This window comes from Homo sapiens, chromosome 1 (assembly GCF_000001405.40).
Source record: "Homo sapiens chromosome 1, GRCh38.p14 Primary Assembly".
NCBI classification, from domain to species: Eukaryota; Metazoa; Chordata; class Mammalia; order Primates; family Hominidae; genus Homo; species Homo sapiens.
The window spans coordinates 226,396,757-226,417,386 of record NC_000001.11 but is presented as its reverse complement, the minus strand read 5'-3'; the positions used below and the strand labels follow the sequence as shown (position 1 = coordinate 226,417,386).

General features: G+C 47.1%; 1 protein-coding gene across 1 annotated transcript in view, besides 17 other annotated features; it reads left to right on the top strand.

Annotated features, from left to right (window-relative positions):
• Positions 1,119–1,263: an enhancer, noted in NCBI's record as "145 bp 1:226603897 sequence used in MPRA reporter constructs". NCBI's record gives its function as "activates a minimal TATA-containing promoter with rs9426568 allelic activity by MPRAs in C283T melanocytes {active_cell/tissue: C283T}" and the evidence as "EXISTENCE:reporter gene assay evidence [ECO:0000049][PMID:36423637]".
• Position 1,191: a transcriptional cis regulatory region, noted in NCBI's record as "rs9426568 or 1:226603897 MPRA-significant variant associated with a GWAS melanoma risk locus at 1q42.12". NCBI's record gives its function as "allelic transcriptional activity by MPRAs in C283T melanocytes {active_cell/tissue: C283T}" and the evidence as "EXISTENCE:reporter gene assay evidence [ECO:0000049][PMID:36423637]".
• Positions 2,460–2,604: an enhancer, noted in NCBI's record as "145 bp 1:226602556 sequence used in MPRA reporter constructs". NCBI's record gives its function as "activates a minimal TATA-containing promoter with rs2695235 allelic activity by MPRAs in C283T melanocytes and UACC903 melanoma cells {active_cell/tissue: C283T | UACC903}" and the evidence as "EXISTENCE:reporter gene assay evidence [ECO:0000049][PMID:36423637]".
• Position 2,532: a transcriptional cis regulatory region, noted in NCBI's record as "rs2695235 or 1:226602556 MPRA-significant variant associated with a GWAS melanoma risk locus at 1q42.12". NCBI's record gives its function as "allelic transcriptional activity by MPRAs in C283T melanocytes and UACC903 melanoma cells {active_cell/tissue: C283T | UACC903}" and the evidence as "EXISTENCE:reporter gene assay evidence [ECO:0000049][PMID:36423637]".
• Positions 2,730–2,874: an enhancer, noted in NCBI's record as "145 bp 1:226602286 sequence used in MPRA reporter constructs". NCBI's record gives its function as "activates a minimal TATA-containing promoter with rs1865220 allelic activity by MPRAs in C283T melanocytes {active_cell/tissue: C283T}" and the evidence as "EXISTENCE:reporter gene assay evidence [ECO:0000049][PMID:36423637]".
• Position 2,802: a transcriptional cis regulatory region, noted in NCBI's record as "rs1865220 or 1:226602286 MPRA-significant variant associated with a GWAS melanoma risk locus at 1q42.12". NCBI's record gives its function as "allelic transcriptional activity by MPRAs in C283T melanocytes {active_cell/tissue: C283T}" and the evidence as "EXISTENCE:reporter gene assay evidence [ECO:0000049][PMID:36423637]".
• Positions 6,364–6,508: an enhancer, noted in NCBI's record as "145 bp 1:226598652 sequence used in MPRA reporter constructs". NCBI's record gives its function as "activates a minimal TATA-containing promoter with rs1104893 allelic activity by MPRAs in C283T melanocytes {active_cell/tissue: C283T}" and the evidence as "EXISTENCE:reporter gene assay evidence [ECO:0000049][PMID:36423637]".
• Position 6,436: a transcriptional cis regulatory region, noted in NCBI's record as "rs1104893 or 1:226598652 MPRA-significant variant associated with a GWAS melanoma risk locus at 1q42.12". NCBI's record gives its function as "allelic transcriptional activity by MPRAs in C283T melanocytes {active_cell/tissue: C283T}" and the evidence as "EXISTENCE:reporter gene assay evidence [ECO:0000049][PMID:36423637]".
• Positions 8,627–8,771: an enhancer, noted in NCBI's record as "145 bp 1:226596389 sequence used in MPRA reporter constructs". NCBI's record gives its function as "activates a minimal TATA-containing promoter with rs1341336 allelic activity by MPRAs in C283T melanocytes {active_cell/tissue: C283T}" and the evidence as "EXISTENCE:reporter gene assay evidence [ECO:0000049][PMID:36423637]".
• Position 8,699: a transcriptional cis regulatory region, noted in NCBI's record as "rs1341336 or 1:226596389 MPRA-significant variant associated with a GWAS melanoma risk locus at 1q42.12". NCBI's record gives its function as "allelic transcriptional activity by MPRAs in C283T melanocytes {active_cell/tissue: C283T}" and the evidence as "EXISTENCE:reporter gene assay evidence [ECO:0000049][PMID:36423637]".
• Positions 8,950–9,079: an enhancer, noted in NCBI's record as "active region_2652". NCBI's record gives its function as "activates an Ori minimal core promoter by ATAC-STARR-seq in GM12878 lymphoblastoid cells {active_cell/tissue: GM12878}" and the evidence as "EXISTENCE:reporter gene assay evidence [ECO:0000049][PMID:35858748]".
• Positions 9,110–9,369: a silencer, noted in NCBI's record as "silent region_1884". NCBI's record gives its function as "represses an Ori minimal core promoter by ATAC-STARR-seq in GM12878 lymphoblastoid cells {active_cell/tissue: GM12878}" and the evidence as "EXISTENCE:reporter gene assay evidence [ECO:0000049][PMID:35858748]".
• Positions 9,294–20,630, top strand: part of PARP1 (poly(ADP-ribose) polymerase 1) — a 47,403-nt gene continuing 36,066 nt past the window's right edge. Inside the window, exons 1-2 of the mRNA NM_001618.4 lie at positions 9,294–9,577; positions 15,008–15,173. Coding sequence (NP_001609.2) covers positions 9,458–9,577; positions 15,008–15,173 — 286 coding nt within the window. The 5' untranslated portion in view covers positions 9,294–9,457. The remainder of the gene's footprint in view (positions 9,578–15,007; positions 15,174–20,630) is intronic.
• Positions 9,620–9,719: a silencer, noted in NCBI's record as "silent region_1883". NCBI's record gives its function as "represses an Ori minimal core promoter by ATAC-STARR-seq in GM12878 lymphoblastoid cells {active_cell/tissue: GM12878}" and the evidence as "EXISTENCE:reporter gene assay evidence [ECO:0000049][PMID:35858748]".
• Positions 10,670–10,729: an enhancer, noted in NCBI's record as "active region_2651". NCBI's record gives its function as "activates an Ori minimal core promoter by ATAC-STARR-seq in GM12878 lymphoblastoid cells {active_cell/tissue: GM12878}" and the evidence as "EXISTENCE:reporter gene assay evidence [ECO:0000049][PMID:35858748]".
• Positions 13,558–14,459: an enhancer, noted in NCBI's record as "H3K27ac-H3K4me1 hESC enhancer chr1:226590629-226591530 (GRCh37/hg19 assembly coordinates)". NCBI's record gives its function as "activates a minimal SCP1, AML or CMV promoter by ChIP-STARR-seq in primed H9 embryonic stem cells {active_cell/tissue: H9 hESC(primed)}" and the evidence as "EXISTENCE:reporter gene assay evidence [ECO:0000049][PMID:30033119]".
• Positions 13,773–13,917: an enhancer, noted in NCBI's record as "145 bp 1:226591243 sequence used in MPRA reporter constructs". NCBI's record gives its function as "activates a minimal TATA-containing promoter with rs1417765 allelic activity by MPRAs in C283T melanocytes {active_cell/tissue: C283T}" and the evidence as "EXISTENCE:reporter gene assay evidence [ECO:0000049][PMID:36423637]".
• Position 13,845: a transcriptional cis regulatory region, noted in NCBI's record as "rs1417765 or 1:226591243 MPRA-significant variant associated with a GWAS melanoma risk locus at 1q42.12". NCBI's record gives its function as "allelic transcriptional activity by MPRAs in C283T melanocytes {active_cell/tissue: C283T}" and the evidence as "EXISTENCE:reporter gene assay evidence [ECO:0000049][PMID:36423637]".

The window sequence follows — 20,630 nt, the reverse complement described above, 5'->3', positions numbered from 1 at the left end:
GGAGACGCTGCAAATTCCCCCCATCCAAAAACCACACCCTGAGGATGTTTGTCTAAAAAACATTTCAAAAAAGAAAACACACATTAAAAACTGATAATACAGCCCAGGCATGGTGGCTCACACCTGTAATCCCACTGCTTTGGGAGGCCAAGACGGGAGGATTGCCTGAGGCCAGAAGATTGAGACCAACCCAGGCAACAGAGTAAGACCTCATCTCTAGAGTAAAAAAAAAAAACTAGCTGGGTATGATAGTGTGCACCTGTAGTCCCAGCTCCTCAGGAGCCTGGGGCAGGAGAATCACTTGAACCCAGGAATTTGAGGCTGCAGTGAGCTATGACTGCACTACTGCATTCAGCCTAGGTGACAGACTGAGACCTTGTCTCTAAATAAATAAATAATTGATAATACAACAATATTAAGTATCAACTGTGGAACAACTAGAACTCTCATATATTGCTCTTGAAGGTGTGACTTGATACAACCATCTTGGAAAACTCTTTGGCAGAATCTACCAAAGCTAAACATATGCAAACCCTATGACTTGGTAATCCCACTCCCAAATAAACATCTAACCGAAACTGATATGAAGGTGAACCAAAAGGTATGTACCTTCAAGTGGATAGCAAAAAAACTTGAAATGGCCCCCAAAAAATAAAAACAGCCCAAACCTCCATCAGCAAAAGAATGGAAAGTAAACTGATGACTGGTCACCCAATGAAATAGTACATAGCAATGAGAATGAACAAAGTGCACCCACACGAAACCATATGGGTGACCCTCACATTCATAATGTTGAGTAAAAGCAGTCAAGTACAAAAGATCACATAGTATATAATTCCACTTATAAAAAAGCTCAAAAGCAAAACTATAACAATAGAAGTCAGAACTGTGGCTGGGGAAGAGCTGGGAGTGTTCTACACTCTGACCTGGCTTGTGGTCATAGAGGTGAATCCCTCAGTAAAAAATTCATCAAACTGTACACTCCAGGTACACACATGTCACTGTATGTATGTTATTCTTCAAAAACATCATTACAAATAAAATTAGAAAATCGGCCAGACACAGTGGCTCATGCCTGTAATATCAGCAGCACTTTTAGAGGCCAAGGTGGGCGGATCACTTGAGTCAAGGAGTTCCAGACCAGCTGGGCAACATGGCGAAGTCTCATCTCTACAAAAAATACAAAAATTAGTCCCAGCTATTTGGGGGGCTGAGGCGGGAGGATCGCTTGAGTCCTCAAGGTCAAGGCTGCAGTGAGCCACCATGGCACCACTGCACTCCAGGCTGAGCGACAAAGTGAGAACCTGTCTCAAAAAAAATAAAACAGGCCGGGCGTAGTGGCGCGCACCTGTAATTCCAGCTACTCAGGAGGCTGAGGCAGGAGAATTGCTTGTATGTGGGAGGTGGACGTTGCAGTGAGCCGAGATCACACCGCTGCACTTCAGCCTGGGCAACAGAGTGAGACTCTGTCTAAATAAAATGAAATACAATAAAATAAAAGCAGAAAACCATTTACTTCTCAAAATTCAAAGGATTGTGCATTTCCACATATGTTCACAGCTGTGGATATTGTTAGTCTCACACCTATAATCCCAGGTGTGTTGCTGGTGGATGTATAAACGGGTACAGCGTTTCCAAAGGGCAATTTGCCAGAATCTCTAAAGATTTTAAATGTACACACCTCATCAGCAACCCAGCTTCTAGGAATCCATCTCAAAGAAATCATAGTAAAGGTATACAAAGACAAATGTAGAAGGGTGAAAATGACAGCATTATTTTTCACTTTTTTTTTTTTTTTTGTGAGACAGAGTCTCGCTCTGTCACCCAGGCTGGAGTGCAGTGGTGTGATCTCAGCTCACTGCAACCTCCACCTCCCAGGTTCAAGCAATTCTCCTGCCTCAGCCTCTAGAGTAGTTGGGAATACAGGGGTGGGCCACTACGTCTGGCTAATTTTTGTATTTTTAGTAGAGACGGGGTTTTACCATGTTGGCCAGGCTGGTCTCCAACTCCTGATCTCAGGTGATCTTCCCACCTCGGCCTCCCAAAGTGCTGGGATTACAGGCGTGAGTCACTGTGCCCGGCCTATTTTTCACGTTTTTTAACAGAAAAAGAAGAAAAAAAAGGAAACAACCGAAACAATCTAATTTTTTTTTTAAAACCAAGTAATTTATGGGAAGATAGACTGAGCACATGTCATTTAACACCCCTCATGTCCCAAATCCCATGAAGTCAGAGAAGAAGTATCTTAAAGTAAACTAATGTATCCCTAATAGAACAGGAAAAGCATACAGCAGTGTGCCATCAGTGCTTTTGGATCACTTCCTATTCACCCCATTGGTGGAGGAGGGATCTCCCGCCCTCAATAGCATGTGATGGTCAAGGACATGGTACCTGACACTGGACAGAAGAGGCTGGCAGCAGCTTATTGCTCAGAGTCTGGGGGAGAAGGACACCGCCCACCCTGCAGGGCCACATAGGGGCTGCCGTGGGGAGCAGAGTGAGCCAGCAGGGACTGTGGGAGGCAGGCTTTGTAGTGACAAGATGGTGGGGTGACCCTTGGATCCCACATGAGGATGCAATTGGCTTGTTTGAATCTTTTGCCCAGCTGGCAGGAAGGTGAAATCCATTAAGTTGGGGTCTAGGTAGGTAGGGTACAGCTGATCCAGTTGACTGGGGAACCGGCTGGCGGGGAGCCTTTCCTGCTGGGTGGGGAAATATCTAGTTAGTGCCTGGGAATTCATGTTAGGCCCTGTGAGGCCCAAGGATGGAATCACAGGCCTCACAATCTGCAGTGGACCTATATATCAGGAAGCCCTGCAGGATGGACAGCACACAGGATTAGGTGCATGTGGGAGACTCCCAGATAGCAGCCGAGGAGGGGCCTGCTGCCGAGCCAGGAGCGAGTAAGGAAACTGCAAACCCAGGCAAGGAGGAGGGGGTCCTGGCATCTGTCAAGGTGGTGTGGGCACAGCCAGTGTGGGGATGAGGGAGGCTCTGTGGCTCCAGGCTGCTACCAACCCCTGGGGAAGATGGAACTCCCACAGCCAGAGACAACCCACTGGCACCCCCATCGCAGGGGCACACACCCACCCTCACCTCCCCACACACAAAGTCACCAGACGTAGCTGTGGAAAGAAAGCAGGAGATAGGTATCAAGATCGTCTCAAATACACAAATGAGCAGATAAGCAAGAACCACTGAATTGTTGAAGACCGTCAACACTGTGAAAGACACCTACAATAAACGCAGTGAGCTCGGATTCAGTGTTACGGTGACTGGTGATGGCGTCCTTCTTCCCCCACACCTCATTTTCAAATAGGAGCAAGATAAATCGTGTCATGCGATAAGGGGATAAGGGAGGAGAGCATGGAAGAGAGCACAACCAGGTAGGGAAATAACACGTGACCCTCTTCAGAAGTGGGAGGAAGTGGTACGGTCCTTCTTGTCCCAAAGATTCTCCAGATCTACTCTCCCTGGATCAGGCCACAAACAGGGGAGACTCCTGAAAACGCTGCTGCTCTCCATAAGTCCCAGGAAGCCACAAGACCCCAAATTGAACCCATCAATATGTAAGCTGGGGTGGAAAATTGCTACCCGGGAGTATCAAACCACAGCCATGACCAGGATGAATTTGGACCCACAGCCACATCCTGAGAACCAGCTATAGTTGGAGGCTCAGAGCAATCTTCTCACTAACCTCACAATTACACAACCCCACATCTTACCATTTGTGTTTTGGAACACGACATTATGGAAGGGTCTTACTACACCAAACTCAGCAGAACTGACAAAACCTAAAAATTAAAGACATATCATTAAGAGAGCAATAACTTCTAGACTATATTACATTCATTAAACATCAGCTCAAGATACTGGAAAGTAAAACATGTAATGGCTAAAATTTGTTAATCTAATGAAAGATGGACACAGCAGAAGCTTTTGTCAGTGACCCAAGAAATTAAGCTGAGACAGCTTCTCATTAACTCGCCAAAAGTTAAAGAGATAAACAGAACATTATGAAATTGGGAGGGTATTTCTAAAAATGAAGCAAAGCAAGTAGTCAAATCAATGATAGAAAAAAAAAAAGTGTCCCCACATCTGAAGATCTGATTTTTTGGATTGCAGGGCCATTTAGTCCTGAGGAAGAAGAATAATGTAAGATACAACTGTGGCAGACACTGCTAGTTGTCCACGGAAATCTGTCCCTGCCTTCTTCCCAGACATAGGCTAGCCTGCACTCCCATCTCCCTTGTCTCTAGGTGTGAAATGGGAGCCCAGCTCCTCTGTGCAACTTCTGCCTCACCTGCTTAACAGGAAATCCCTGGTGTGGGGCTTTAGACATCCCCCCCACCCCACCACCACACACACATACACCAGCAGTCAGAATTGTGTGTCTCTCTTCTTTCTTTTTTTTCTTTTTGAGACAGTCTTGGTCTGTCGACCAGGCTAGAGTGCAGTGGTGCAATCTCGGCTCACTGCAACCTCTGCCTCCCAAGATCAAGGGATTCTCCTGCCTCAGCCTCCTGAGTAGCTGGGATTATAGGCATGCACCACCATGCCCAGCTAATTGTTTTGTATTTTTAGTAGAGACAGGGTTTCACCGTGTTAGTCAGGCTGGTCTCAAACTCCTGACCTTGTGATCCGCCTGCCTTGGCCTCCCAAAGTGCTGGGATTACAGGCACGAGCCACCATCTCTTCTTTCCACTCCTGATCAATCTTGACAAAATATAAAACCAAACCAAGACAAATCAACTTTGTAAAATAAAGATAAAGTTGGAGGTCTCACACTTTCTGATTTCAAAACTTACTATGATGTGGCGTTGGAATAAAGACAAACATATAGACCAATGGAACAGAATAGAGAGCCCAAAAATAAACCCTCAACATATATGGTTAAATGATTTCAACAAGGGTGCCAAGATCATTCAGTGGGAAAAGGACAGTCTCTTCCACAGATGGTGGATCTCCACATGCAGAAGAATGTAGCTGGACCCATACCTTACACCAAATGTTTGTTGTGAGTTTATTTACTTTTTTGTGTGTGTGGAGACAGGGTCGTGCTATGTTGTCCAGGCTGATCTAGAACTCCTTACCTAGAGACACTGCCAAGGTAAGTGAGGGCCAAGTGGACACTGAGTGATTCTGTGCCTCACTGAGCAAAAATAACTAAACATGGGCGAAGGAGAGCCCAATGATCCCAGGGACAAAATGTCATCACGGGCATTCTGCGCACGCTTGCCAGGATACAGGAGAAGCAACCAGACACTTCATTCATCTTCTCAGAATGTTCATTAACATGTTCAGAAAGGTGGAAAACCTTACTTGCTAAAGAGAAGGAAATTGGAGGCATGGCCAAAAGTATTCAAGGCCCTTTATGAAAAAGAAATGAAAACTGATATCCCTCCTAAAAGAGAAGTAAAACAGAAATTCAGAGATTCTAATGCACCCGAAAGGCCTCCTTTGGGCTTTCACTTTGTGTTCTGAGTACTGCCCTCAAATCAAAGGAGATCCCGGTCTGTCCACTGGCAGTGATGCCAAGAACCTGGGAGGGACATGAGTGACCATGCTGCAGATGGCAAGCAGCCCAAAAAGAAGGCTTCTCAACTGAAGGAAAAGTACCAAGAGCAGAATGCTGCATATCCAGCCAAAGGAAAGCTGATGTGGCAAAAATGATGCTGTCAAGGCCGAAAAAGGCAAGAAAAAAAAACAAAGCGGAGAAAGACAGAGAAGGTAAGGAAAATAAAAAATGAAGTCGATGATAATGACAAATAAGGTGGTTCTATGGCAGCTTTTTTTTTTTTCTCTTGTCTATAAAGCATTTAACCTACCTGGACACAGCTCATTCCTTTTAAAGAAAAAAATTGAAATGTAAAGCCACCTAAGATTTATTTGTAAACTGCATGATGGCGTTCTTTTTCTGTTTTTGTATTATTAACAAGAATTATCAAGTAATTCTTCAGACAACCCTGTCCTGGTGGTATTTTGTATAGCCACCAACTTTGCCTGGTATACTATAGGGGTTATAAATCAGCATGGGAATTTCAAATTTAAGGCACAGTATAAGTTAGTTATATACAAATGTGAAGTAACATTATTAATTAAACTGTTGGCCTGTGCGAAGGGAGGGCCAACTGTGGGATTCAGTCATTCATTCAACAAATATTGGTGAGTGCCTGACACTGTTCCAGGCACTGAGGCTATTGCAACAAAACAGACACAAGCTCCTGCCCTCATGGAGCTTACATTCTGGTGAGGGATACAGAGCCACCAAAAAGGATGGCAGCTGGGCCATGAGAAAGGATCAAAGTCAGGAAGTTAGAATTCGGGGATGGATTGAACATGGGACAAAAGAGAAGAGTCAAGTTGACTACAAAGCATTTGGCCTAAGTAATGCAAAGAATGGTGGGCCATTTCCTGAGATGGGAAGCACTAGGGTAGTTTTGGACATAAATGGAGATGCATATAAGCCATCCAAACTGAAATATTGAGAAGGCAGTAGGTGATAGTTGGCTTTCCTTAGGTTCTAGGGCAGGAATTCTTAACCTTTTGTGTGTGTGCCTAGGACCCCTTTGGTGGTCCATGAAGCCCTTTCCAGAATAAATATTGTGGAGGAACCTACCTTAATGCAATAGTAGCTTCTAGGTACATTATCAGGCAAACTATCCCACAAGTTACAAAACAGAAAGCCTCACAGACCAAATTATGATGCTTGAATTGCAGGGTTTATTGAATCAGTTTAAAACCACTTACAGCAAGAACTCGATGGGGTGCATAACATACACAGGATAGGGTACAGGCGAGGCAGATGGACCACACCACCAGAACCTAGAATTAGGGAATCCTCCCCTCCCCTCCCCTCCCACCCCTCCCCCCTTCCCCCTCCCCTCCCCTCCCCTCCTCCCCTCCTCTCCCATCCTCCCCTCCCCTCCCATCCTCCCCTCCCCTCCCCTTTTCTCTTCTTTTCTTTTTTTGAGACTGTCTCACTATGTTGCCCAGGCTGGAGTGCAATGGCGTGATCTCGGCTCACTGCAACTTCCACCTCCTGGGTTCAAGCGATTCTCATGCCTCAGCCTCCCGAGTAGCTGGGATTACAGGCACGCACCACAATGCCCAGCTAATTTTTGTATTCTTAGTAGAGACGGGGTTTCACCATGTTGACCAGGCTGGTTTTGAACTCCTGACCTTAGGTGATCCACCCGCCTCAGATTCCCAAAGCGCTGGGATTACAGGCATGAGCCACTGCACCTGGCTAATATTGATATGTTTTCCCTCTCTCTGCCGCATCAGCCTGTCCCACTGACAGAGTTGAGGATGCTCAAGGCGGCTCAACAGAGGGTACCTGGAGCAACTCACACTGCACTATCAGAGAGACACAAGTGCAAGCACACTCAGCCACAGCTGCAGCTCACCAATCAGCCTGCTGAACAGACCTGAACTTTAGCTGCATTTTTGGGGCAGAGCATATGGGTGCCAGGATGGGACCATAATCTTATCACCAATGAGTGGCCATTTAGGGATGATATAGTTGTCAACCCAGAGATGGCATGATCATGCCTTTTGACTTGGTCATTCTCTAAGTAAAACTTTTATTTGTTCCATCATATTTTCCACTTATTCTGTTTACCTTCAAAATATCTTTTTTTTTTTTTTTTGAGACAGGGTCACACTGTCACCCAGGCTAGAGTCCAGTGGCACTATCATGGCTCACCACAGCCTCAACCTTCAGGGCTCAGGTGATCCTCCCACTTCAGCCTCCCGAGTAGATGGGACTACAGGCACCTGCCACCACCCCCAGCTAATTTTTGTAGAGACAAGGTTTTGCCATGTTGTCCAGGCTGGTCTTGAACTCCTGGGCTCAAGGGATCCGGCCACCTCAGCCTCCCAAAGTGCTAGGATTATAGGCATGAGCCACTGTGCCCAGCCTACCTTCAACGTATCTAACTGGTTACTAACTTTTAGGATTCGGCCTATGTCTCACAACCTTCTTGCTTACTCAACATCCTTGTCTCTTAAGCCACTAGCTTCTTCTCTATGGTTAACACTTTTTATGAGTTTTATTCATCTGCTTATTTTTCTTATCCTCTATACCAGAATTGAATATTTTCAAATAAAGCACACTCATGTTACAATCTTTGAAATGAAAAAAAAAAATGCATAGGATTAGAAAAGAAACCAATTTTAATAAACTATATTTTGAAGTATAGTTCTATATTAAACAACAAGATCTAGGCCAGGTGCAGTGGCTCATGCCTGTAATCCCAGCAATTTGGGAAGTCGAGGTGGGAGGATTGCTTGAGGCCAGGGGTTCAAGACCAGCCTGGGCAACATGGAGAGATTCCCCATCTCTTTCTTTACACACACACACACACACACACACAAAATATCTGATAGCAACAGGTGCAGTCATTACCACAATTTCGAGTAGTGATGAGCTTAATAATATTTCGAGTTATCACCAACAACTGTAAAGTAACATGAAAACGTCTGTGATGACTATTGCCCACAAAGTCACAGGTACTGCTAATACTCCTGGTATTTGTAGTCAAATTCATAATAAAGGAAATGCTAGGTTTCAGTTGGTATTTTGTCCCGACGGTCTGTGGACGGCAGGTTAGAACGCCCGTCCAAGCCAGGAGGGTGGACCTAGCACTGCAGGGTCCACCTCGGGCCAATCAACTATATTCCCGAGGCGGGGGCCTGCGCTTCCCGGACCCAGCTGCCCTCAGGGGAGAGAGGACACACTTAAGAGTTTGGGGCCGGCGTGGTAGCTCATGCCCCTGATCCCAGCACTTCGGGAGGCTGAGGCGTGAAGATCACTTGTAGCAGGAGTTTGAGACCAGTCTAGCCAACTTGGCGAGACCCTGTCCCTAAAAAAAATTTTTTTTTAATTAGCCAGTTGTGGTGAGCGCCTGTAGTCCCAGCTACTCGGGAGGCTGAGGTGGGAGGATCGCTGGGCTCAGGAGTTCCAGACTGCAGTGAGCCATGATGGCGGCACTGCACTCCAGCGCGGTGAGACTCAGTCTCAAAAATAAAAGGGGGAGGGGTTGGGGGTAAAATTAGTTGTGAAATCAAGTAAGACTTCCTGGGACAGAACAATCAAAGGGGTGGCGCCGGGTCCTCCAAAGAGCTACTAGCTCAGCCCAAGCCCCGCCTCGGCCCCCAGGGCAGCGGCCCGCAGAGCTCCACCCGGCAGGCGCCCGGGAAACTCCGCCCCCCGGCCGGCAGGGGGCGCGCGCGCCGCCGGCCCCGCCCCGTGGACGCGGGTTCCGTGGGCGTTCCCGCGGCCAGGCATCAGCAATCTATCAGGGAACGGCGGTGGCCGGTGCGGCGTGTTCGGTGGCGGCTCTGGCCGCTCAGGCGCCTGCGGCTGGGTGAGCGCACGCGAGGCGGCGAGGCGGCAGCGTGTTTCTAGGTCGTGGCGTCGGGCTTCCGGAGCTTTGGCGGCAGCTAGGGGAGGATGGCGGAGTCTTCGGATAAGCTCTATCGAGTCGAGTACGCCAAGAGCGGGCGCGCCTCTTGCAAGAAATGCAGCGAGAGCATCCCCAAGGACTCGCTCCGGATGGCCATCATGGTGCAGGTGCGGGCCGCTGTGCGGGCGGCGGGGCGGGGACGCGGCGCCCCGGGTTAACTGTGTCCGGGAAGGCTGGGGGAGGGCGGGCCCAGGGAGCGAGCGGGCCCGGGCCCTCGGAGCGGCACTTGGGGCCTATGGGGCCGCGGCCGCCCCTCCTCCCGAGCGGCCCGGCCGACCCTTCCGGAAGGTTTTGCTGATGTTGCAGGAAAAGCCCGGGAAATAAAGTCTGCAGCTGGTGTTGCCTTTCGCTTTGTGAAAACGAGGAGCCTCTTCTCTTCTCCTTTCTGGGTGGCGGTGTTTTATTACTGCCGTTCGCCTCAGGGGTTGGGGGGGAATTGTACATGGTCTCTTTAAGCTAATCTGATTTTGACCTATCTTGTTCTGGAGGGTTTTTGTTCTACATGGATGGTGGCGACTGACATGTGGGTTTTTTTTTTTTTTGTTAAACCTATTTTTGGCAGTCATTTCAACACGTCATTTAAACGCTCACTCTCATTTTTTATTTTAATTAGGCAGAACTATGCAGAAAGGTGTCATTTCTGTACAGTACATTCACTTTGAGCCTAATTTGTGCTTTAAAGTAACATTTTCCCCAAATTTTCCAGATTCACAGACGCGTTCTCTTGGTGCATTTGCAGCTGTCTGGTTTGAGTAAGAGTGGCTCCAGGGGGGTTTCTCATGTGGGCTTTTTGATAGATTGAATCCCCTTCTGAGGTTTCCTGAGCCTTCTGTGAGGTGGTGGGCTTGAAGGCCCCTGTCATTTCCCAGGGGCTCCTGCCTCCAGCTTCCAGTTTGCCGATGTCTACCTTTGTATTAATAATTCTGGTTCTCATCTGCCCTGTTCCTCCTCGCTTCCAACATATTACCCAAGCTTAGTGCTCATGGTCAAGGTAGCTTGATTTTCCTCCCTTCCATGAGCTGTAATGTGTTTTAGGAATGACCAGATATCCCTCAGTGGATTTTCAGTACTTAGTACAAGGGAGGGCGACATTTACCGAGTGGATACCCAAGTGCCAGGTGTACTTCCGTTATCTTATTTCACAATATGCCTGTCATCTTGGTGTCCTCGGGGCATACCTAAGTCAGTACGTGGCACACAGTGCTTATTTGGTAGGCATTTTTTAAGTTCTAAGCACTCTGTTAGGTTTTAAGGACACAGAATCCACCTTTGGGAATTTCCAGTTTGGTTAAACGGGAAATGACTGGTAAACAAACGTTACCGTAAGAGAGGATGGATGCCACCTGATGGAGCTGTGCTCTAGGCATTGTGTGCCTAGGAGTCCGAGATGACCCAGCTAAGGGTGGAAGCTTGATTAGGAGTCGTTAATTCACAGAAGTGGAGCAGAAAGATGAGAATAGGGAAGTAGACAGGGCCTACAATTTGAAGAGCCTTGTTGCCCACTAAGGAACCTAGAACTTACTTTGAATATACAAGGCAGCCTGTTATGAAGTTCTCACTCCTGGTGCAGGAGCTCTTAACCCAGGGTCTGTGGGATGGTAGGTAGAAGGCAAGAGGTCCATGAGTTTAGATAAGAAAAAATTGATATCTCCATCTCCACTAACCTCTAGATAAAATTATTTCCTCTAATCATAAATGTAAGCAGCAAAGCAAAGGCATATTAGCAGTCCCTATTTTTTTTTCACCAGTGATAATTACAGATATTTTCATATCACTTTACAGTTGGAAGTTTTTCAAAATATAATTTACTCTCATTGCTACAAAAATCACAGTTATTAGAGGCTGTACTAGATCTTGTTATTTAATGCTTAAAAGCTCACGGGTTACTGTACCCAAATTACCTTTCAAATGTTTTGATAATTATCTCAGTGTTTCCTTTTCGAGCCTTTTTGTTTGTTTTGTTTTTTGAGATGGGGTCTCACTATGTTGCCCAGGCTGGTCTCAAACTCCTGAGCTCAAGCGATCCATGCACCTCGGCCCCACAAAGTGCTAGGGTTACAGGCATGAGCCACCGTGACTGGCCATTTGCGAGCCTTTTTATTACGCATTTTTAAATGTTATTCTGAGAAAGGGACATCCAGGCGCCTTAACAGGTGGGCAGAGTACCGTGTTCTGGTGGAAAGACAAACAAAACCCAAGTCCAGACTGTGTTGAGGCTAGAACAACACCGCTGTGGAGGAAGTTAGAGGAGGCTTAGCTGTGGGGGAGGCCGGATGGAGGAAACTGAACCTGATCAAGTTTAGCATTCTGGGGCCGGGCTTGGTGGCGCATGCTTGTAATCTCAGCACTTTGGGAGGCTGGGGTGGGCAGATTACTTAAGCTCAGCAGTTTGAGACCAGCCTGGCCAACATGGTGAAACCTGTCTCTACAAAAAAATGCAATGATTAGCGGGTCGTGGTGGTGCGTGCCTGTTAAGTCCCAGCTACTCCGGAGGCTGAAGCTGGAAGATTGCTTGAGCCTGGGAGGTGGAGGTTGCAGTGAGCTGAGATAGTGCCACTGCACTCCAGCCTGGGCGACAGACCCAGACCCAGACCCAGACCCTGTCTGAAAAAAAAAATAGTAATAACAACATTCTGGGCTTTCCTTTGGTATACTTGATAGTGAAAGAAACTCTTTATTATTAAAAGTAACTGTGATTTTTATGTAATGGTGATTAAGGGTGGATTCAGAGTTTTAATTCAGAATTTAAAGTTGGTCTGGTAGACTGAGCTGGTGAAGGCCAAAAAGAAAGAAGCCTTTTCACTTGCTTGAATTTAAATACCTTCTTTTACATTTACATGGGAGTATTGTTCTCTGAGTATCTGATACCTGACACTTTAGCCCTCATGCCTGGGGCATCTTGGGAGGGATGAGCTGGGCCCTCCAGCATTTTGGTGGGAGGAGGATGGCGGTAGACCTTTGAGTTGCTCTGTCCTGGGAGGGTTTGAGCACCCGGAGGCATGCAGTGAGGTCAGTTCATTCTCTCTGTGGCCTAGGTGGACAGGTAGCATGGCCTGTTCTGCACAGAAGGGAACCCAGTTCACCAGCTGCTGGTTGGGTGAGGACCCTGGTATGTTAGGTGCTCAGTTTTTGCTTGGGTGCACAGCCAAAGATTCTGTGCCTTGCCTCAGCTGTGCAGCTAACAAATGGAGTCGATAGTCTTGTGACCTTGGTTTGGTGCCTTTCTGCCACATCATTCTCAGTCCTGAGTTTAGGGCAAAGCATTGCTTTGGTCAGGGGTGCTTCTGCTGAGGCTCTTGTCCTCTAAGCTTGTGCTGTGATTGCACCATTGGGCAGCACCTCCAGGGTGTCCAGCACTGTGCCGGTGGTTGGGGGAGACAGCACCCAGACCAAAGGGCAGCAGGTCTGGGGCCCCTGGCAGAGCCAGGAAGAAGTGCCATAGCCATTACCTGTGCTCTTTATACAAGGGTAACTGGAACATTGCACAGGAAGGGTAGACAAGGGGTAGACAAGCAGGCAGAGCCAGGTCGAGGCCATTGCAAATATTCCATGATAGCCAGATGCTTAGGGATCTGTATCAGCAGCCTAATTGAGATCTGGTGGAACGTTTGAGAGTTGGAACATGAGTATGCTCTCAGAAATGCCATTTGTTGTCTCTTCTACAGCAGGAATTTCCCCATCCTTCCTTTTTTGTTCCATCTGACTTGGAGCCCTAAGCAAACACTGCGTGCCCTCTGTGACATGTTGCTAGAGAATAGCAAGATAGGCCCTTATGAAATAATCACCAAATGCATAGTTCTTAGTGAGGGGAGCTGTGGAAGGAGCATTGGGAGATCTGAGGGAGTGCTCTGAACAGGGCTGGAGAGCATTCCAGACCCAGGGGAAAGCTGATGTTGAGGAGTCCTTGTGCTGCCATAGTCTTAGCTGTGCATTTTAATACATCACATCCAGAAAGAGGCCACTCACAGTGGAGAGAGATAGTGGGGTACCTTATCATTGCTTTTCCAGAGTATTTTCCCTGTCCCCGCAACTCCATCCTAAAAATTCAGCACATTTACTTTTAATGCTGTTTTAATAGTCTTATTGCATCTGTGTGACATTTAGCTTTATGTTCTATAAAAGCAGATGTTTGGGACTTCCCTTACTTTAGTCAGATCACAGTTGGTGTATTTTTAAGTAGCTCTTCCTGCCGGGCAGTGGAGTGTGGTGGGAGGAATCATAGTGTCAAATCATTCATTTGCTGCCTCTGTGACTCCCAACCCCCCAGGCAAGGATTTCCAGCCCCACTGTCTCCATCTGTGAATGAAAGGGCTGGTTCCCACCCAGAGGCAGATTGTGGGATTACACAGGATGGCTTATGAAAGGAGCAGGGACACACACTACATACTGTGTCTTCCCCTTCTTCCCAATCGCTGTCACCGTCCACTCTGTAAAGCCAGGACTGGGTGCAGTGGTTCATGCCTGTAATCCCAGCACTTCGGGAAGCCGAGGCGGGCGGGTCACGAGGTCAGAAGTTCGAGACCAGCCTGGCCAACATGGTGAAGCCCCATTGCTACTAACAATACAAAAATTAGCCAGGCATGGGTGGCACGTGCCTGTAGTCCCAGCTACTCAGGAGGCCGAGGCAGGAGAATCGCTTGAACCCAGGAGACAGAGGTTGCAGTGAGCTGAGATCGCACCACTGCACTCAGTGCAAGACTCGGTCTCAAAAACAAAGCCAGACAGTGCTCGAGGCCTGGGAGCAGAACCTGACCCTGTCACAATGAAAGGCCTAGTGGGAAGCAAACCACCTGGAGAGGGGAACTGTGTTCCCTGTGGCCAGACTTCTCAGGTCCTACGCCTGGGAAACTGCGCCCCAGAAGGCCAGTGAGCAGCTGACTCCAGCTCTAGGCATGCTGCCCCGAACCATCCGCTGTCACAGTTGCCTCAAAGACCTCCATTCATTCCACTCCCATCTGTGTGGCTGCTGCAAGCTTGACACTTTTTTCTGACACACTTTCTCTGCTTTGCTCATTATCTGGGACTTGTTCCTTGTTATTCTTAACTGCAGAGGCACTTAAAGAGCCCTTTTCTGGGGCACACAGGCCCTTTGAGTCCAGGCAAGCCTGGAGCAGTTGTCTGGCCATTCCCAGCAGATGCTGCAGGATTGTGACTCTGCACAAGTGTCTTCTGTGCATTTCACTAGGCCATGAGGCAGCTCACCACTAAATGTAGCAGTGTGTGGTCAAAAGGGACGTGGGGCAGAGCTCAGTGGTAAAAGGCCACCTTTCTCGTGGCTGTGTTTGGTGTCCTAAGAGAATGAGCTCAAGAACAGTGGGCTACAGTCTTCTGACCCTTGGGGAAGATCGTGAGAAGGATGCTGCAGCTCTTCATGTGAGAGCGGAGGCTGTCCTCCTTTCACAGATAGGAGAACAAAAGTTTCATGTGCTATCCCACTGCTGGGGCTGGGACTGGGGTCGAGGTCAAGGTCAAGGTCTAGTGGGTCTAAGTCAAAAGTTAACTGCTTACTTACTTCCCTCTGTTTCTCTTCCTTCTAGTCGCCCATGTTTGATGGAAAAGTCCCACACTGGTACCACTTCTCCTGCTTCTGGAAGGTGGGCCACTCCATCCGGCACCCTGACGTTGAGGTGGATGGGTTCTCTGAGCTTCGGTGGGATGACCAGCAGAAAGTCAAGAAGACAGCGGAAGCTGGAGGAGTGACAGGTGTGTACATACTGGGGCAGCATGGGCATTCAGCCCCCACCCTGAAGCTCCCAGGAGGGCCTCGTCTCAGAGAGCAAAGCAAACCTCCCCCAGCTTGCCCTCTCCCACATGTGCAGATCAAGCGTATGGTGCCCATGTTATTTCAGCAACACCTCCTGGACTCAGCATCATCTGTTGCATGATATTTGGTATTTTGTTTTTCCAGGTGCTTGGAATGTAGCCTTTAAAGTTGTTTTGTTTTTAATATACTTTATTTTTGTTCATGGCAAAAGTAAGCAAAGAACAAAGAGTTTCCAGTACCCCCTCCCCCTCCCACCACACAGGCTCTTCCTTGTCAACACCTCCCACCAGAGTAGTACATTTGTTATAATTGAGGAACCTACACTGACACATCATTATTGCCCAGAGTCCAGAAACTCCTGATGCTCTACATTCTATGGGTTTGGACAAATGTATGATGACATGCATCTGCCATTATAGTATCATACAGAGTAGTTTCAGACCTGCACCCTTCTGCAGCCCCCTTAAGATTAAGGAAGAATAGCTCATCTCTGAGAGGGGAATGAGGTAGGAGGTGGGGCTCAGACACCAAACCAAACCGAGGACTAACTAAAGCAGGGACAGGGACGAAGCAGCTTTCCATAAAACACCCACCAGTGTGCCATATCAGTTTACCATTGCCATGGCAATACCCGGAAGTTACCACCCCTTTCTGTGACAACAATCTGATGACCTAAAAGTTACCACCCCGTTTCTTAACATGTCTGCATAGTCTGCCCCTTAATTTGCATATAATTAAAAGTGGGTGTAAATATGACTTCAGAACTGCCTTTGAGCTGCTGCTCTCAGCACAGTGCCTGTGGGGTAGCCCTGCTCTGCAGGAGCAGTCACAGAGCCATAACACTGCTGCCTCAATAAAGCTGCTTTCTTCTACCACGAGCTCGCTCTTAAATGCTTTCCAGAGCGAAGCCAAGGACCCGCCCAGGCCAATCCCCAATTTAGGGCTGGCCTGCCCTGCATCAGTTTCACTGCTCTAAAAATCCCCTGTTTATCCCTCCTAATTCCTGACAACCACTGCTCTTTTTACTGTCTCCACAGTTTTCTCCTTTTATGTCTTCTCCCATGTCTTAGTACAGGTCACGTCAGGTGACATAGCAGAGCAGAAAGCAAAGCTATTAAAAGCTTTATTAGGAGAGGTAATCCTAGGGCAGCAAGAGAGAGGGAGGAAGGGGAGGCAGGAGGGCAAGCACAGTGCCATACGCTGTCAAGCTGGCCATGGCTTCATGAGAAACAGCCAATGGCTTGGTCATGCAGGATGCCCTCACGCAAGTCCTTTGCCACTAAGCTTCAGAAAAGCCCCTCGGAGCAGGAGGAAGGGAGCAGCATTATCCATTGGTTCTTTCTGCCTCTTGTTTCTCATTGGTTTTAGCTCGCTGGAGGTGCTGTGGTTCTCTGCACTTCCAGACTGTGTTCCTGGCCTCTGCACAGTCACGCCCTGCAGCCAGAGCTGCCTCTAGATCTGGAAGTGGCGGGAGGACTCTCAGTCCCTGGTTTTGAAAGAGTTGGCCTGTTGGTGACAGTGCTGTGTTTGTTACTGTGGTGGTCACTACAGGGTGGGTATGCCAGGGTGTGGCCCTTACCCTGAGGCAGTGACAGTGCTAGGGAACAAGGCTGTGGCACCAGCAGCCACTGTCAGGTAGCCCACCCTGGGGATACAGATGAACTACATCCAGTACGTGTAATTTTATGGTTCCTTATTTCTTTTAACATCTAAATGTTTACTCTATTTGAGAGTTATCCCGGTGTGTGCTGATGTGTGGTGTGAGGCGTGACTCCAGTTTTATTTTTTTCCAGATGATGATCTAGTTTCCCTACTTTGTTTTTTTGTTGTTGTTTTTGTTTTTGTTTTGTTTTCGAGATGGAGTCTCACTCTGTTGCCCAGGCTGGAGTGCTGTGGCATGGTCTTGGCTCACTGCCACCTCCGCCTCCCGGGTTCAGGCGATTCTCCTGCCTCAGCCTCCCGAGTAGCGTGGTGCCTGCCACCATGCCCAGCTAATTTTTTGTACTTTGTTTATTGGCTTATTCATCTCCCCCATTGAGAGGTGTCTTGTATCATGCACAAAATCTCTGTATTTTGGGGTCCTTTTAAAAATTTCTGTTCCATTGTCTGTTTAACCTTTTTTTATATGTAAACTTTTTTCGTTGTTGTTGGAGACGGATTCTCGCTCTGTCACCCAAGCTGGGGTGCAGTGGTGTGATCTCGGCTCACCGTAAGCTCCGCCTCCCAGGTTCATGACATTCTTCTGTATGTAGACTTTTTTTCTTATAGCAGTTTTAGGTTCACAGCAAAATTGAGTAAAGTACAGAGTTTCCATATACCCGCTAGCCCTACCCACCCCACACATACACAGACTTTTGTCCACAATCAACATCGCCACCAGAGTGGTCCATGGTTATAGCTGATGAGCTACATTGACACATCGTTATCGGAGTGGTCCATGGTTATAACTGATGAGCCACATTGACACATCGTTATCCCTCGAGGTCTGTAGTTTACATGAGGGCTCACTCTTTGCATTGTACATTCTGTCAGTTTTAACAAACATACATTGACATGCATGTACCTTTATGGTAGCCTCCAGAGTCCTTTCACTGCCTGGGAAATCTCTGTGCTTTGCCTAGTCATTCCTCCCTCCCCTCTAACCTCCAGTAACCACTGATCTTTTTGCTTTCTCCATAGTTTTTCCTTTTCCAGAATATAATATAGTTGGAATCATACAGAAGGTAGCCTTTTCAGATTGGCTTCTCTCACTAGCAATGTGCTCTTAAGATTCCTCCATGTCGAGCCGGGCACGGTGGCTCACATCTGTAATCCCAGCACTTTGGGAGGCCGAGCCCAGCAGATTACGAGGTCAGGAGTTCGAGACCAGCCTGGCCAATATGGTGAAACCCTGTCTCTATTAAAAATACAAAAATTAGCCGGTGTGGTGGTGTGCACCTGTAGTCCCAGCTACTCGGGAGGCCGAGACAGGAGAATTGGTTGTACTGGGAGGCGGAGGTTGCAGTGAGCCGAGATCATGCCACTGCACTCCAGCCTGGCAACAGAGCGAAACTCCATCTCAAAAAAAAAAAAAAAAAAAGATTCCTCCATGTCTTGTCGTATTGATAGCTCATTTCTTTTTATTACTGAATAATATTCCATTGTCTGGATTACCACAGTTTGTTTATTCATTGACCTGCTGAAGGACATCTTGATTGCTTCCAAGTTTTGGTGATTATGAACAAAGCTGCTAGAAACACCCACCATGTGCAGGTTTTTATGGGGACATAAGTTTTCAACTCCTTTGGGTAATCAAGGAGTACAATTGCTGGATCATGTGGTAAGAGTATATTTAGTTTTGTAAGAAACTGCCAAGCTGTCTTTCAAAAAGCTGAATCATTTTCCATTCCCACCAGCAATAGATGAGAGTTCGTATCATTATACATCTTTGCCAGCATTTGGTGTTATCATTGTTTTGGATTTTGGCCATTCCAATAGATATATAGTATTTTATTATTGTTTTAATTTGCATTTCCCTAATACTGTAATTATCTTGAACATCTTCTCATACGTTTATTTACCATCTGTATATCTTTGGTGAAATGTCTTTTGCCTGCCCCTACCCCCACTTTTTTTTTTTTTTTTTAAGACTGTCTTGCTCCGTCGCCCAGGCTAGAGTGCAGTGGTGTGATCACAGTTCGCTGCAGCCTTGACCTCTGTCTCCCACCTCAGCCTCTTGAGTAGCTGGGACTACAGGTGCGCACCACCATGCCTGGCTAATTTTTTTAAATTTTTTGTAGAGACAGGGCCCCACCTTGTTGCCCAGACTGGTCTCAAACTCCTGGTTTTGCTCTTTTTAAAATCACATTGTTTGTTTTCTTACTGTTGAGTCCTAAGAGTTCTTGGTATATTTTGGATAACAGCCCTTTGTCATATGTCTTTTGAAAATATTTTTTCTCAGTGTGTGGCTGGTCTTCCGCAGAGCAGAAGTTCTTAATTTTGTGAAGTCTAGTTAATCAGTTACTTCTTTAGTGGATTGGGCTTTTGGTGTTTGTAAAAAGTCATCACCAGACCCAAGGTCATATAGATTTTCTTCTAGAAGTTTAACAGTTTTGTGTCTTACATTTAGGTCTGTTATCCATTTTGGTTACTTTTTGTGAAGGGTGTAAGGTCTGTGTCTAGATTCCTTTATTTTTTTTCTTTTTTTTTTTTCGCATGTGGATGTCCAGTTGTTACAGCTCCGTTTGTTGAAAAGACTATCTTTTCTCCATTTTTGCCTTTACTTTTTTGTCAAAGATCAGTGGACTGTGCTTGTGTGGCTCTGTTTCTGGGCTCCCTGTTCTGTCCCACTGATCTACGTATCCTTTTGCCAGTACCACACTGTGTTGACTGCTGTGGCTTCATAGTAAGTCTTTAGGTTGGGTAGTGTCAGTCCTCCAACCTTGTTACTGTCATGGCAGAAGGCAGAGGAGAAGCCGGCAGTTGACATGGCCGGAGCAGGAGGAAGAGAGTGAAAGGGGAGGTGCTACACATTTTTCAACAACCAGATCTCAGGAGAACTCACAAGTATCATGACACAGCACCAAGGGAGAAATCTGTCCCGGTGATCCAGTGACCTCCCACCAGGCCCCACCTCCAACATTCGGGATTATAATTTGATAGGAGATTTAGTGGGGACACAGATCCAAACCATATCACTGTCTGCCCTTGCAGCAGCTGGTCCTTGCAGCTGTTGGTATGTCTGACTAGCTGCTTACTGCAAACAGGTTAGTAACGGCTCAGAATTGGGAATTTTAAAAAGTAAATAAATTTGCCAAGAAAGGGTTCAGAGGGTGAGTATGTCAGATTTAACAGAGGACAGCTCTCATTCTGTTGCCTAGGCTGGAATGTACCGGCATGATCTTAGCTCACTGCAGTTTCTAACTCCTGGGCTCAAGCAATCCTCCCACGTCAGCCTCTGGAGAAGCTAGGACTACAGTTGCCCAACTAATTTTTTAACTTTTTTTTTTTTTTTTTTTTTAAGATAGAGACAGAGTCTCACTGTGTTGCCCAAGGGATCTTGCTTGGCAAGACCCCAGGCTGGTCTCAAACTCTTGGCTTCAAACAATCTCACCTCTGCCTCCCAAAGCACAGGGTTTATAGGCATGAGCAAATACACCTGGCTGACATTTTTGTTGTTCTGTGGCTGTTTTCTCTTTTGTATTCAGGATAGGGGAAGTTGTAGGTTTAGGGGCATAGATATGTTATATCTAGTTATAATTTAAATATACCTGAGTACATAGATAATCTCTGTCACCCAGGCTGGAGTGCAGTGGTGCCATCTCAGCTCACTGCAACCTCTGCCTCCCGGGTTGCTGGGATTACAGGTGTGTGCCACCACACCTGGCTGGGTATTTTTAGTAGAGATAGAGTTTTGC